The sequence below is a fragment of the Homo sapiens genome, chromosome 10 (assembly GCF_000001405.40).
Source record: "Homo sapiens chromosome 10, GRCh38.p14 Primary Assembly".
Classification (NCBI taxonomy): Eukaryota; Metazoa; Chordata; class Mammalia; order Primates; family Hominidae; genus Homo; species Homo sapiens.
The window spans coordinates 80,655,243-80,672,618 of record NC_000010.11 but is presented as its reverse complement, the minus strand read 5'-3'; positions in this window follow the sequence as shown (position 1 = coordinate 80,672,618).

Sequence of the window (17,376 nt, the reverse complement as noted above, 5' to 3'; positions counted from 1 at the left end):
GAGATAATCAAATTTTGTACAGCACTTCCCATAGAAAAACACAATAGCTGTTGTCTTTTTTCTTTTTCTCCCCCAATACTTACCTCTCCAGCTCTGGAAGGCGGTTAGACTCCTCTCCCTGGGCCCACAGTCAAGGTGCTGGTAGGCAGATGTAGGTCATTGGAAAGGCAGCAGAAAGCAGATGGGAGTCCCTGTTCTGCCGTAATTGACTGTAATTTGGGGCATTTTGCTCAGCCTCCCTGCATCTTAGTTTCCTCACCTATGAAACAGGAACAATAGCACCTACCTTGTGTGCCTCCAGGTATAAGATCACATAAGATTATGGAGGAGGCACTTTGCAAAGTCTACAGTGATTTAGTGACAAAGTATCATTAGCCAAAAAAACAGCATGAAGCTGAAGATTCAAATTATGTAGAAATTAGTGCTTGCTCCCCTACCACAGGCACCCGCGTCCCAGGCTGAGCCCTGCCTAAGTGTTGGGTCAGCATAAATACTGGCAGCTATGGACGTGGGTGGGTGTCCAGCCCCTATTGCCCACAGCTGATATTCAAGGAAGAACCACGTTATTGCTGAGCTAAGCTTTCTGACGTTGAGCCTTCACCAAAACTTCAATACTTACTCATTTACTGCTAATGGCTTATGGTGAGAAACACAGCAATCCTCTAATTAACCAGTAAGGTTTATAAGACAGCTTGCACATGAGCCTGGACAACCTCAAGAAGTGTAACACCATGGTCAAGTCAGAGTTATTATATATGGGGGTTGGAGCCAGGCCGGCTAAAGTTTGAATCCTGGCTCTGCAACTTCACCTTTCTGAAGCTTCCCCACCTTTAAATGGGAATCGTAATCCCTACCTCACTGGGTTGTTGGAATGTGCCTAGCACAGTACCTGACACACATTTAGTGCCCAGTTTAGTCCTGTATAGCACCAGCCACATGACATGCACTAAATTGCAGCTTATTGACTGGATGATTTTCATTTAAGAAAATTAGCCGGGTGCGGTGGCTCACGCCTGTAATCCCAGCACTTTGGGAGGCAGAGGCGGGTGGATCACAAGGTCAGGAGATAGAGACCAACCTGGCTAACACGGTGAAACCCCGTCTCTACTAAAAATACAAAAAAAATTAGACAGGCGCAGTGGCGGGTGCCTGTAGTCCCAGCTACTCAGGAGGCTGAGGCAGGAGAATGGTGTGAACCCGGGAGGCGGAGCTTGCAGAGAGCCGAGATAGCGCCATTGCACCCCAGCCTGGGCGACAGAGTGAGACTCCGCCTCAAAAAAAAAAAAAAAAAAAGAAAATTGAAGGTATGGGAAATAAACCTTGGAGGCAAGGTGTGAAAAAAGTAAGTGGATTGTGGTATTTGAATTACACTTAATCGCCCAGAAGGCACAGAAAGAAAAAAAAAAAAGGAAAGCTCAGAAAAAGAGCTTGGCCCCCAGTAGCAGCCTGTCACACACAAGGAGCAGCAGGGTGAACTGGAAAGAAGACACTGTCCACGCCTCCCTGAACACACTGCTGTAAGGAATGCCACTACCTACGTGTGGCTCACAGAGCCACAGGTATCAGAAAGGCTTCCCTGCGCCAAATGAAATCATCTCAGTAGCTCCAGCATGGCCCTGGGGCTGCCTTCTGCTGCTGCATAGAGCAATTCTACGTCTGCTTCCAATAGCCCTACAGAAAGCGCCTTAGAGTCAGATGGACATGGAGTAAATCTCATTTGGCCTTGGGCCAGTTACTTTACCCTCTTAAGACTTAACGCCTTTTCTGTAATATGGAGAATTTAGTAGAAAAGATACCTCATAAAGTCTTGTGCATAATGTGAACATCAATCCTAACTCATATTAAGCACTCACTAAATGCTAGTAATTTTTATAAAATGCAGAATTCAAAGGAGTAGATAGCTGCTGAAGTTTTGTACACAATGCAAGCATAAGTCTTAATGCATATTAAGTGCTCCATTAAACACTAGTAATATTTCTTCCTTTCAAACTCTCTGGTACTTATGATTCTGACACCTTTAACCATTCTGGTATTGTACCATAATGATCTATCTCTATATATATCAAAGACATGAAAGGGTTTAGTTTCCTCTTAAGTCACTGGCTGCTACCACTCAGTGTGCTTTGCTGACTCGGGCTCTCTATGCCTCTTCTAAATGGTACAGTGTCCAGGCTTTGTCTTCAAGCCTCCTCTACCTACCCCTGGATTTCAATAATATCCTCATGTCTAAGGCTCCCAACCATTTTAGTTCTAGCTCAGGCATTTCCATGGAACTCCAGACTCATATACCCAACAGTCTACTTGACATCTCAATTTGGATGTTGTGTAGTGAACAATTTAACCTTGCCCAACAAGAGGTCTGGTCTTTGCCCTTGGTTTCTGGGAGGTCATCTGTAACTACTTGGAATGTCATGCCTGACAGAAGCAGGACTCCCCCAGGAAGGATCACATCCTCAAAATAAGCTGCCCCTTGCTGGTTCACTGGATCCTTTCTGGTTCTAGCATGCAGCACTGTCTGTGTTGAGTTAGGAGCCACGTCAGCTGAGCGGCTCCTCTTAGGCAGGCTGGATACTGAGCACACTTCAGCCATCATCTCGTGCACCTGCTGCATGGAACGGCGGGGGGGGGGCGGGGGGGCAGAGCACTGACTCCCCTCCAGGAGATGGGCTTACTGTTCACAGCAAAGTCTAAAAACGGTTTGGTGGGCTTAGTTCCTGCCTAGGCAAAGGTCAGGGGTGAGAGCTGATCAGGGTAGTGGAACACACTGCTGACTGAGGAGTTCTTACTAAACAAAGAGAGAGCAAAATTAAGGCCATGGCCTGCCTTCCTCTTCACCCCTCTGTCCTCAAGGCCTGATGTCAAGATCCAAAAGTTTCCATAAGGTGAACAAAGAACCTGCAGCCACTCAAGACTTGGTCCTGCAGACAGGCCTGGATCCAATGTCCCTGGAAGATGGGAGGCTGCATACTTCAGGGGCATGGCCTACCTTCTACTCACTCACTAGGAAGAGACAGACGGGAGAAGCCGGCAGGCCCTGCATGCCAATTAGGAACAGCTGGAATGAAACCAGGTCAGGACAGGAATTGACAACAGCCACCTTGAATCCTCCCAACACCCCCCCACCTGCTCAGAAATATCTGAGCCCTGAGGGATTCCCTTCCATACAGGTAGCAGAGAGAAGGCCTATACAATGATGGAATAAAAGGCAACTCAAAAGATATTCCCTTTAGGAATAAAGGTAGCTGGAAAAGAATGAAAGAAAGAGATCTTTTTATTGCAGCGTTTTTTTCTTCTCTTATAAATCATTGTACCTGAAAGGTCACTCTGTGAGGTTGATGGCTTTCCTAAGAATGTGCTTTCTTTCTCTTCCCAATCATGGGGAGTGTGTGTCACAAGACAGAGAGGCCAATGTGGTCACTACTCACAAAATCTTAAATGGTGACCATGTGAATAGCTCAAAGGAAACTTTCCTAGGCTCTGAAGTTCTCACCTTTTTAAAAATTGAATTGACATGTTGCTCTGCTTTCAGGCGTCCCTCGCCAATTCTGTCTTTTGAAAAGAACTACGATATGGTTTGGCTCTGTGTCCCCATCCCAATCTCATGTGGAACTGTAATCCCCAGTGCTGGGGGAGAGACCTGGTAGGAGGTGATTGGATCACGGGGGTGGTTTCTAAGGGTTTAGCATCATCACCCTAGTGCTGTCTTATGATAGAGTTCTCACAAGATCTGGCTGTTTAAAGGTGTTTAGCACCTTCTCTCTCCCTCTTGCTCTCTCTCTCTCTCTCCTGCTCCACCATGGTAAGACATGCTTCTTCCCCTTTGCCTTCCGCCATGATTGTTAGTTTCCTGAGGCCTCCCCAACCATGCAGAACTGTGAGTCAATTAAACCTCTTTTCTTTATAAATTACCCAGTCTCATGTAGTTCTTTATAGCAGTGTGAGAACAAACTAATACAAATCCTGAGTGAGAGGCTGATTTTCTAGAGCATCTCAGGAGGCAGTGATTCTGGATCATCCATCCACATGCTCATCCTGTATCCACCCACCCATCTATCCATTCGTTCTTCCATCCACCTATCCATCCATCCATCCACCCACCCATGCATTTATCCATCCATCTACCCTTCCATCCATCCATCCATCCATTCCGGTATTCATCTGTTCTTGTGACAAAGATTGCCTTAGTGCCAGGCTCTGTCCTGTAAAGTAGGGATACGGCAGAAAACTCATAGACGTAATCCCTGGCATTATGGCACTGGCATTCAAACTGGGCAAAAAGAAGTAAGCTAGCGTAGTAGAATGATTTGTTAGAAATGTACTATAACCTGGATGTGAAACAGCTGTGTTTTATTCCGCCTCAAATACAGCCAGAACTTTTGGTCCCAAAGGCATGGGCTTCCCTTACTTGCTAGGTGAGTATGTGAGTAAGCTTTTGTTCTCAAAAACCCAGGTGAGTGGTGCCATGCTGGTCACTGAGGGCCACCCTTTAGACACTGTTTTCAGCCTGCACAGGTTTTTAAAGACACTGGATCTGTGCAGGTGGGAGACTTGGCATCCTGTGTTGATGTTAGCCACTTGCTTTCTGCAGACAGCTGGGTCCATGAAACTTCTCTATGCCTAATGAAGAGGAATTGGGCTGGCAACAGCTCGCAACCCTGGCTGCAGATCAGAATCACCTGGAACTTTAAGTCTCTATGCCTAGCCTGCACCCAGACCAATTAAATCAGGAAATCTAGAAGTGACAGTCAGTCAGCAGTTCTTAAAGTGCCCCAGGTGAATCCAATGGGAACAGCTGGTCAAAGGTGAAGAGTTTGCAGCTTTGAATGCTGCAGATTGAAGAAAAGTTTTGTTTCCAGATAAGTTGCAGGAGGAGAAGGGTTTGGGTTTCTGCTCCTAGTTGTAACCAGAACCCATTTCAGGCCCAACACTCCAAGGATGGCAAGGTCTCAGAACAAAGGAACAAAGCTTTTTTAGCCCGAGCTGCAGGCAGAGGAAAGGGCTGCTGCATGGGGCTTCAGGGTAGCCTTCTTGAGGAAGCCATGCCCTTAACAGGCAGAGCAAGGAGAGGAAAGAGGCAGTCAACATGGATCCTGTGAGCCTCAGAGCTCTTGTTTAGGGAGAGGCCAGAAGCGACCAGACCTGGCTTCCTCACGAGCTGAATCTCAGAGCTAGATTGTGTATCATTTAGAAAGAATAAAAAATATGTTACTTTTTGTGCCTTAAGCATCATGTAAGTACTTCATACCTTTTCCCCACTCAGCGGTCACACAGCGGGGCAGTGCTGTGAGGGAGAGAGGCCGAGCTGGCTAGTACCTCTCTCCTCCTACCATGGCCCCTCTGCCACCTATACCTGCCTTGCTCAGCTCGCAGCCATGCCACACCCTCCCCCTGACAGGACATATCCTCTGGGCAAGGGCTGGCAATGACACAGAGGCCTCCATGAGGACCCCCAGGGACAGGGACACTTTCACCCTCCCTGGGAAGTGATAGGTTGGGACCCTGGGCTCCAGGCAGCCCCATCCTCTCAGGGCCATAAGAGCTCTTCCTCATACTATGACTCCCAGGAGTAGTGATGCTTCCTCAGGCTCCCTCCCTCCTACATTCTTGCCCCTTGCCCATCCCATCCCAGAACAAGGAATGTGAATGCTTCTGAACTACTTGTCCAGCCCCTCTTTCTTCTGCAAACAGGCCTCTATCCCATCCCTCTGAATTTCTCCTCTTGGCAGCAAGTCCCACACCCCAGTTTTCTCCTGAAGCAGATGGCTTTAAGAACCTTTCCTTGCTTTCTATTGGGACTACTGACTGTATTATATAGAAATAAAATACTGTGAGCTTGTTCTCCCTGTTGGCACAGCCAACAAGGACCAGCCAGCAGCTTTGTAAATGGCTCCATTAAATCCCAGCTCTGTAGTGGGGCAAAGACTCCCATAGCCCAGTGCTTCTCAGCCTCAGCTACAATCATTATCATCTCAACAGGTTTGAAAATGTGAGATGCCTGGGCCCCCACTCCCCAGAGATTGTTTTAATTAGTCTTTAATTAGTCTGGAGGAGGTACAGAGAGCTCACCATCAGGCTTGAGTTTTAAGCCCTCCCAGATGGTGCTAACGTGTGGCCAGTGTTGACAGCCACTGCAGTGGAGCCCACCAGGGTCTAATTTGCCAAAAGTCCTGCCTCGTTATTCAAGGCAGCTTCTCTGAAGGACCATGGTCAGGGATGGGACAAGATGAAATAAAGCCTTGTCACTTATTACCCTCCAGGGGGTCTGCAGGTTGCTGCCTGGTGCTCCCACTGCCTCCAAATTCCCCTCCAGGTGGCATAGGCACTGCTGGGGTCACCCTCTGTCGATGAAAAGACATATTCCAAGATAACTTGTGTTTGCCTGGTGAACTTGGTGGACCTCTCAATCAGTGAACTTTTTCTGAGCACACAGGATGTAGGGAGTAAAGTTGACATCAGACCCAGTTCTGGCCCTTCCTCAAAGAGTCTCTTGTCCAGCTGGAGAGATAAGCATATGACCCAGGGCTGACCTGTGAGCAATGGCCTGGGAATACAGGGGACGTTCAGGGAAGGGAATGGACAGAGTGTGCTGCACTGGAGACAGCAAGATCAGAGTCCTGACTGGCTTAAGTGAATATGGAAGAGGAAGGAGTGAGGGAGGGCATCCTGAAAAGGGCCCTTAGGAAAGCCTAAGGGCAAGAAAATGTGTAACTGTATGAGGAAAAGAAGATGGGAAAGATGGAGAGAGAAAAATGGTTTCGTGGTCCGTCCCCTTCCCACTAACCCTGCTGCCACCCCCTTAACTAAGGTCCCTGTCACCTAATCCCTGGGGTTTTGCATCTGCCGCCTCCTTCCTGTCTAACCCCTACAGCTAAGGAAGGGGAGTAGAGGGTGACACCCATTTGCTGGAGCATAATCCAAACTATCACCTATCACATCACAGTCAACCATCTTAAGAATTCCTCAGTATCGACTAACTTTTAGACCACGCACAAATGCCCCAACATGTTTCACAGGTGGTCTTTTTATAGTCGGTTTGTTTAAATCAGGATCCAAACAATGTCCACACATTGCACTCAGTGATCTGTCTCTTGTTTTTTTTCACCTAAAAGTTACTGCCCCACCTCACCCCCCTTTTTCCATGCCATTTCTTTTATGAAAAAGTGGAGTCATTTGTCATATAAAGTTGTTCAAGTAAATTAAAATGGGGGCCAAGCCTGAAGAATCCCTGCGGAGACAAAACCAGTTAGGCCTTATAAGTGACTCTAACCTTGCTTGATTTGCAAATATAAGCAAAATTTAACTTGGGCTATTTCTTGTAAATGCCTACATGAAAGAAAAACAAAACTGAAGCTCAACGAATCAGAAACAGCCAAAAACTTAACAATTGTTATGAGGGACTTTCCAGTGGGATAGACCAAACAAGGCAACTGTCCAACTAACCCATCAAACATTTTCTTGGCTTTACTTCCATGTGCCTGTGAAAGCCCCTCCCTTGGTGGAGCTGCCCAGAACCACTTCTGGTTTGAAGCTGCCTAATTCATGAATCATTATTTGCTCAAATAAACTCTAAAAATTTTATTGTGCCTCAGTTTACCTTTTTAACAGACTTTTCCTCATTCTGAGTTTGGCTCACTACATCCTTTTATGAGGTTTAATTAAAAAATAAAATAAAATAAAAACTTAGATAATCGGCCAGGCATGTTGGCTCACACTTGTAATCCCAGTACTTAGGAAGGCTGAGGCGGGCAGATTGCTTGAGCCCAAGAGTTTGAGACCAGCCTGGGCCATCTCTACCAAAAGAAATACAGAAGTTAGCAGGGCATGGTGGCACGTACTTGGTAGTCCCAGCTACTCAGAGGGACTGAGGTGGGAGGATCATCTGAGCCCAGGAAGTTGAGGCTGCAGTGAGCTGAGATCGCACCACTGCACTCCAGCCTGGGCAACAGTGAGACCTCGTCTCAAAAAAAAAAAAAAAAAACTTGGAAACTCACAGGCAGGGAGACCTACCTGAGACATATCTTTGAGAGGAATAGAATAAACAAAACATTAGCTTCGTTTTCTTATGCTGATCCTCAACTTGTAGTTTGAAGTAAGAGGATGCAGCTACGTCTGTTCCAAGCAGATTTTGGGAATGTTCCAGACTTTCAGAATGTGGCAAGAAGAGTAGTGAGTGAGAACAAAGGACACATCAGAGAGGAGGGAAATGACACTGAAGTTTGAACCAGCTCAGGAGAGGTGAAAAAAACTTACACGTGAAAGAGGATTTTCCAGTCACCCATCCCTCTGCAGCCTTTCCTGGGTAAAGTCAAAGCCTGGCACAGCCACAGCCAATGGCCTGCACTGCCCCCTGCAGGCAGAAATCCTTCAGCAGTGACGATGGACTTCCCCTAGTTCCCCGCACAGCTTTGCAGGGAGCAAGCCTGTCGTGGGAATGGTTTCCAGAACTCCTCCCCAGGCCACTCATCTGACACCCTCGCCTGCAGGTACAGGACCACCAGTTCTGTCGCCCTAGGAACGTGTCCCACTGTACCTGGCACCAGAAGTAAATGGGAATGGAGGGGAAAAAAGGCTTAGAATATACAGAGCCAGAAGTTAAATCTGTGAAAAAATCTTTAAGTCATCAAATATATACAATTAATTCCACAATCTGGAATTCTCACTGGCATTTAGTCAAAATGGAAGTTCTCGACTCTCAAGAATATATTCAAGAACACAGAGTATTCAGCTGTAAATGCAACAATTTTTTCTTTGTTGATGGGAATTGGGTGAAATATGATCTTTCAGATTTGCTGTTTGAAAAGTACAATCCTGTAGCAACACTACAAACAATGAGTAGTCAGTATCTGAAGTTGTATGGCTTCAGAATCACATACAACGATCAATAATAAAACAAAAGTTTATCAACTCAGAGAAAAGGTTGGCTTATCTTTTTAATTTTTTATATGAAAAATATTATAAAATTGCAATATATGAAGAGATGACTACAGCATATGAAGCCAAAAAAAAGAAAAAGAAAAACTGTAGGAAGATGAAAGTTCTTATAGAGATGTGTTAGGAAGTTATTTTGTAAAAAATACAATGTCATCGTTCTGGGTTTGGGGATGTTTGTGGTATTTGGCGCTTGTTCAGTTGGTGTTTTGTGTTTTCTTTTCATATTTTAAATAAATGTTCACTTTTACACCAAAAAAAGAAAACTTAAGTAGAAAAAATGGAAATTATAAAATAGACGAATTAAGGAGTGATAATTAGCTTTGCACAGTTTGATTTAACAAAAAAAAAATCTTTTAAGTAGAGAGCGTTCTCCTAGGACATTTTAATTATGACTTCATAGACTGTTACTGCTTGAAAAGAACTTCGAGGTGATCTTATGCACTTTATGTCTCAGACAGCCCAGGGAACTAGGGCTGAGAAAAAGAACCAAGTCCCAAAGTCCCGCTGTGAGTTACTAGCACAACCAAAATTAGAAGCTAGGCCCCTGCCTCCCGACCACACGCGCCTGCCTCCCAGGGCTGGTTTGCAGCCGGTAGAGACGAGCATGGGCTTTTCCCAGGGATTAGATCCATCGCTTACTCTGAAACACACACATTGACAAAAGCTTTTCTCCACCTCTGCGGCACAGCTCTGTAAAGCCGGGTGCTCCACACGGAGCAAACTGACAGGCAGGCTTTTCCTTCCCAGCGTTGTTCTTAATCCGTCCACCGCACCCTCCTTACAGGCAGGAAGCTGAACTTCCCAGCTTTCTCCCTGCTGCTCAAGAGGCTGCCGTGGGAGATGCTGCGGGTGCCCCCTGCTGGCCAAACGGAATATCACAGTATCACAGGCCTGGCCGCCCCTCCTTTTTAGATAGACATAGACAGATTAGATAGATTAGATAGATGATAGATAGATGATAGATAGATAGATAGATAGATAGGTAGATAGATAGATAGATATAGATAGATAGGATAGATATAGATAGATGAATGATAGATATTGATTGATTGATTGATTGATTGATTGATTTTGGGCCAGTCCCCAGTGGTTGAAGATCCTTAGGTAAGATAGGGGACTAAAATGGGACAACTCTCCACACTAGAGGGCAAAGGAAAGGTTCCATGAGAGTCGTGTTCATGCTCAATTGAGATTATGGCAATCAGGATTCCATCCACAAGATCTTGAAAGGACGAAGCTGAGGCTGTGCAGCCCAGAACAGTGCCTTGAAATTTCACGTGCATAGACATCACCTGGGAATCTGGTGAAAATCCAGATTCTGGTAAGCTAGGCCTAGGGGAGAGCCTAGGATCCTGCATTTCTAACAAGCCCCTAGGTGATGCTGCTGGTCCAAGCACAAGACTTGGAGTAGCAAGATTCTAGATGGAAGTGCGTGGACTTTGGAGTCAGACCAAATTGTGTGAACCTCAATTTTTCCACTTGCTAGCTGTGTGGTTCCAGACAAGGTCCTTAAATATACTGAACCTTGAATTCCACATATGAAAATGGGCATGATCCCACCTACCTCACTGCACTTTTGTGTGGACTGTATAGATAGCATATAAAGGTGCCTTGTGTGGTATCTGGCATGTAGTGGACATTCAGTAAGTGGTGACTGTCACCATCATATGGATTTTTCCCAATAGGTTCATGGCTTCAGCAACTCACTGCCAGTGGATACTAGATATGGATACTGATTTACACAAAAGTGTAAATCACAGCATCTCAAGCTTATGGATGTCATAGTTTCATTTATTAGTCCCTGGCTGCCAAGGTTGGACCCACCTTTAGCTACAAACCCAGAGGCTTACAGTCAGTTTAGAGCTGAATCCTTAGCAGCGGTTTCAGTCACCCCTGATGAATGCACGTCTTCTCTCACATCCAAACTAGAAAGACACAGAAGAAATAAGATTGATGCCTTGTCACCACACTGGAGGTGAGCTGTAATTCACATGTGTGCTGGGCAGACAATGAAACAAGACCTGCAGATAAATCATCTAAGAGCACATAGGGAAAGACTGGATGCTGTGGAGCCGGAGGGTCTGGGTTCATGCACTAGCATCAGTATTCTGTAACTGAGCAACCTCAACCAGTTTGGTAAGCTATTTGAGCCTCAGTTTCCTCATCTGTAAAGTGAGATGATGATGATAATACATCCAGATTAGACACAGAATGTGAAGTGCTTTGAAAATGATCATCCCCCTTCCCTTGGCTCCTCTTGTGTGAGAGAGCTTGGAATTTAAGATAAATGGAGAGCCTTTCTCTACTGTTAGCTCTGTATCCATGGATCCAGGAAGTTAGAGGCAGCAGATGTTACAGAAACGTCCATTTGTAAATAAAACAGAGTGCAATGTATTCCACAGTCAAAGAGTTTAGGTCCGTAGTGTTGAAGGCCTATGTCCACATCTGGATGACATTTTGAAGCAAAGAGTGACTGAAACAACCTAGGTTTCTAATCTCTATATTAGATTAGATTAGAACTCTAATCTCCATATTAGATTAGAACTCTAATCTCCATATTAGAGTGCATACGATCCTTCTGTACTGGCGGCCAGCCCTCTCCAGCTCACCCCTGACTCCAACCCCAGTAATGCCAAACTCCTGCAGCTCCCCAAGAGGGTGCCTTTTCACAACTCTGTGCCTGTTCACATGCCACTCACTTTCCCCCTTCCTCAATCCTCGCCAAACTTGTGACTCAAGGACTAGGCAGGGCTCTTTGTTGCAACAGAAAGAGGAAGGCCGAGAAAGAACTCACAGTATTACCGGAAAGCCTAGAGGAAGCAGCTAGATAGGTGGACGGGATGAAGAAAAGCACAGTCAGAACCACAAGCAAGACTATAGCGCAGAACCCTCCAGGGATGAACCCTCTGCCACCACCTCCAAGCACCTGAAGCCAGCAATGTATGCACTGCCAATGCCATGGCCCTGCAGGCTGAGCCTGCTCCTGCGCTGCCACCATCAGCAATGCTCCATGAGCATCACGGTAGAACCAAGCCTTCCCTGACACACCTTCCTCCGTGTGTCACACACACACGAGTCCTTGAACTGTTCTCCCAGCACCCCTTAAACTTAATCACATGGTTTCGTATTTTTCTAAGTTTCTATGACTGCCTCAGGACAAAGCTCCCCAAAGCCGACCTTGAGAGGAGGAGTCATGTCACGCACATGTGATTTATGAAGGACGTTCTCCCAGGGAAGATGGTGAGGGAGCCGGGGGCAGGGAAGTGGGTAGGACAAGAAGAGGAGGAAGCCAAGCCAGGGAATGATCTCAAGCAAAATTGAAGCAGAAGGTGTCTTCAGACTGACCCCCCAGGGGAACTCAAGAGGGTAAGCTATGCCTCAGCATTGTCCCAACCCAAGGCAAGTATCTGGGCTTCCAGACCCCGTACCTGAATGGCTTGTCTTCATGGCAGCCAGGGCTGGAGAAGGAGGGTGGAAACATAAACTCTGAGACGCCTCCTTGCAAAGTGACTCCATTACCCTAGAACAGTCCTCTGAGGAGAAGCAGCAGCCGTGGGCTATTGAAAGTGCCGTGTCAGTAGCAGCAAGGGCAAAACAGGCTACTGGGGATGGGGCAGAGCCATGAGGCCGTCTGCTCCCATGAGCCCACTAGACCCCACCAGCGCTGCCTGTGTATCTAATTCACCTCTATGTTCCCGGCACCCAGCACTGGGCAGGAGCTTAGCAGGCCACCAGAAAGTGTCCCAAAAGTGAATAAAACTGTCTAGGTGGGGCATATGGTTTTCAGGGTGTAAAATGAAGCAAACGGAACAATGACAGACCCGAACAGCGGGAAACCAGGCAAGGGTAAGGGCATTCCTATCTGGGTTTACATTCTCTTCATTATTGACAAGTTCTGACCAGTGTGTCTGAGGTCAGAGGCTCCCTGTGATTAGAAAGGATCTGGTGGAGTCTCCTGTCCCTGCTCAATGAACTCTCATCTCCAGAGCAGTGAACATGCTTTGGATTTCTCAGACACAGCAGCACTACAACGTCTCATCCCCCTGGGAAGAGGATTGAAGCTGGAGCTAATGCAAGTGACTTTCAGAAGTCACATAAAACACCCAAAGGATACGGGCGAGTGGCTGCAGTGGCTCACTTCTCCGCACCTGCCAGCAAGTGGAAGGCAGGACTGGACAGACTCATAAGCCGCTGACAGATGCACCTTCAGGGACAGCGCCAGAGGAATTCATCCAGGCAGCCTGTGGAGGGAGGGCTAATTTTAGTCCCGTGCCTTGGAATTGGCCAAACCCAGAGAAAGCGCAGAACCCAGAGGCAATTTCCCGCTCCCATTTTAGAGTGAAGAAGCAGAGTGGAGGGATTTGGCAAAGATCTGTTTGGGGATGCTAAAATGTTCTGAGTCCTTTCAGTCTGAGGCATAGAGGTTGGCCTAGGAGTGTGATAGACCATCAATAGAGGGGTCCACCAAGCAAGGCCCTCCTGTAGGTCACCATGATCAGTCGTGCCATCTGTAGTTCAGTACTTACCACCAGCATTGGCCTCTGGAGTTGAGGACTGCTCTAGTGGTGAATTGTAGGTGGCAACTCAGCTGGGCCCTGGTACTGAGAAATGTGGTGAAAATTGATTCTGGATGTTTCTGTGCAGGTGTTTCTGGATGAGATTAACATTTAAATAGATGGACCTTGAGTTAAACAGATCACCTTGCATCATATGGGTAGGCCTCATTGGCTCAGGTGAAGACCTGGATAGAAAAAAAGACTAACTTCCCTGGAGCAAGAGAGAATCTGCAGCAGAGGCCTGCGGACTAGACTGCAACATCAGCATCTCCCTGCATCTCCAGACACACACACACACACACACACACACACACACACACACACGCACAGAAACACAGACACACACAGACACTCACAGACGGAGACACTCACACAGACACACACAGACACACACACACAGACACGCACACACAGACACACACGGAGACACACAGACACACACAGACACAGAGACACTCACACATGGAGACACTCACACAGACACACAGACACACACATATGGAGACACTCACACAGACAGACACAGAGACACACACGGAGACACACAGACACAGACACACAGAGACACACACACGGAGACACACAGACACACACAGACACAGAGACAGACAGACACACAGACACACACACACACACAAACACACAGACACACAGACACACAGACACGGAGACATTCAGATACACACAGACACAGACACACACGGAGACACTCACACAAAGACACACAGACACAGAGACACACAGACACACACAGAGACACACATAGACATGGACACACACACACGGAGACACATAGATACAGAGACACTCACACAGACACAGACACACACGCACACGGAGACACACAGACACAGAGACACTCACACAGACACACACAGACACAGACACACACACAGAGATGCTCACACAGACACAGACACACAGAGACTCTCACACAGACACAGAGACACACACACGGAGACACAAAGACACAGACACACAGACACAGACACAGGCACACACACAGAGACACACAGACACAGTCACACACACACACAGAGACACTCACACACACACACAGACACACACACACAGAAAGACATACACAGACAGAGATACACACAGAGAACACACACAGAAAGACACACGCCAACCTGATGGCCCATCCTGGGTTAGCTTCCATAGTCACGTGAGTCAATTGCATAAGTAAATCTCTTGTATAGGTGTATCTGTCTGTACATATGTGTGCATATGTTTACACACACCCCCCATTGGTTCTGGTTCTCTGGAGAACCTTAATACACTGCTATCAACAAAATCCCCAGCCCCTGCTTCCTGGAGACCACAAGACCTGGGCCTGGCCACTTGAACAGCCAGCAATGTAGGAGAGGCAGATGCAGGTTGGTGGGTCGGATCCCACGTGATAGAGCACCCGGCCGGAGGTGTTAGAGGTTTCCAATGTGGCTCACCAGGCAGAGGACTGTGCCAAGGACTCTTGGGGAGGCCCCAACAAGTGAAGAGCCTGACAGAGAGACCAGGTACAGCACATTTCTAGAGCCTGTGGCCAGGATGACGCCGGTGTCAAAGAGCCAGAGGATACACACCTGGCAGGATGGCGTCAGAAGAGGCAGGCACAGAGGCCATCTAGGTGATGTCTAGCGGAAGTCTAGCCTAGAAGGAACCTAGTAGGAACCTGTCCAGTAGCAACCTGCTACTGATGCCACTAGCAGGTCCTCCTATCCTGGCACTGTGGGTGACCAGCAAGGTGTCCTACTCACTTTGGGCACAAGCTGCCTCTCAGAGGAAGGCTCAATACCAGCAGGGCCATGGCCATGGGCTGAGGTCTTCCATCCCTCAGTTTGCTCTCTTTCCAAGGGCTCTTATTACTTTCAACGCATTAACACATCATGGTTTCACAAAGTGCAGTGATGGCTGCAAAGGACACTCAGAGAGACTGACAGCTCAAAACCCCAGAGGCTCGTGGAGAGCAGGCCTTGTGAGGAGGTGCCACCATGCTCTGAATGTTTTGGGTCCTTGACCAGCAATCAAGCCAAAGGGCCAAGATGCTTTCCGAAGGGCTCTGGTCCTCCAGAACACAGACGACCCACGGTCACAGTGGGAGAAGGGACGGTGCTACAAGGACACAGAAAGGGTGGGAGGCGAGAGCAGGCAGGGCTCCAGGAGGGGCCTGGGAAGAGGGGATGAGAAACACTGGAGCCAGTGCAGTGCTAGTGACAGCCCTGCAGGCCAAGGACTAAATCAGGGACTTGAGGGACTCAGAACAATTCCCCAGGACCCTAGGCTGTCAGCAAGGGCAAGGCAGGACCAGGGGACAGGCTGGGTGACGACAGGAAGAGGAGGGGCCTTGTCTGGTGCTCCACTGGGCCTATTCTGGCACGCGCACACACATACACACAGACACACACAGACACAGACACACAGACACACATGGAGACACTCATACAGACACAGGCACACAGACACAGACACACACACGGAGACACACAGACACAGATACACAGACACTCACATAGACACAGACACACAGAAACACCCAGACACAGACACACACAGACACACACACAGAAACACCCACACAGACACAGACACACACAGAAACACACAGAGTTACAGATACACACAGAGAACACACACAGATGCACACAGATATACAGAGAAACACACAGAGGACACACACACAGAGTTACAGATACACGCAGAGAACACACACAGATGCACACAGATATATAGAGAAACACACAGAGGACACACACACAGATACATACAGAAACACACACATACACAGAGACATACACACAGGCACAGATACACAAACACATAGAGACACATAGACATACACACAGGCACAGACACACAAACACATAAAGACACACAGACATACACACAGGCACAGATACACAGACATACACACAGATACACACACTTCGACACATACAGATACAAACACACAGGCACAGATACACACACAAACACACAGACACACCTACACAGATACACATACAGGCACACACAAATACAGAGAACACATACTGACACAGACACACAGATATACACAAAGAACACACACACACAGACATACAGGCACAGATACACAAACACATAGAGACACAAAGACATACACACAGGCACAGATAGACACACAGACACACAGACACTCAGAGAGACACACAAACAAATCCACAAAAACACAGAAGCAGACACACAGATATACAAACACACAGATACACACACAAACACATACAGAGATACACAGACACACAGACACAGATAGACACAGATACATACACAGACACACACAGACACACACAGGCACACTGATACACACAGACATATACACACATACACACAGCCACAGATATGCACACAAGCACACATACAGACACACAGCACACACAGATATATACACACAGGCAGACAGACACAGATACACACAGAGACAGACACACAAAGACATGGAGACAGAGACACACACAAACACAAACACGGACACACGCATACTTCCTAATTTTTGCCCAAGACCTCCCCCGTTCAGAAATCTAGACATGAAGCATACATCAGGAATGTTTTTACAAGGAAACTAGATAACCTGCGGATCAAATTCTTACCTTTTTGAAATTTTTCTCAAACCTTTTTTTTAACCATAGAAAATTTCTAACATATTCACAAGTAGAAGTAAGTGCCATGAACCCCCAAGTACCCATCGCCCAGCTTCACAATTACCAATGCACAGTTGGGCTTTTAGTTCAAAGGCTGTAGTCCAAGTGTAAGTGACCTGTTTAGAAGACCACAAATTAGAAGAAACCAGTTCACCCTTGCCCACTGCAACTCTTGGGATAGAAAGAGACCCTCCAAGTTGGCAAATGAAAAAGAACTGGAGAAGAGAACAAGA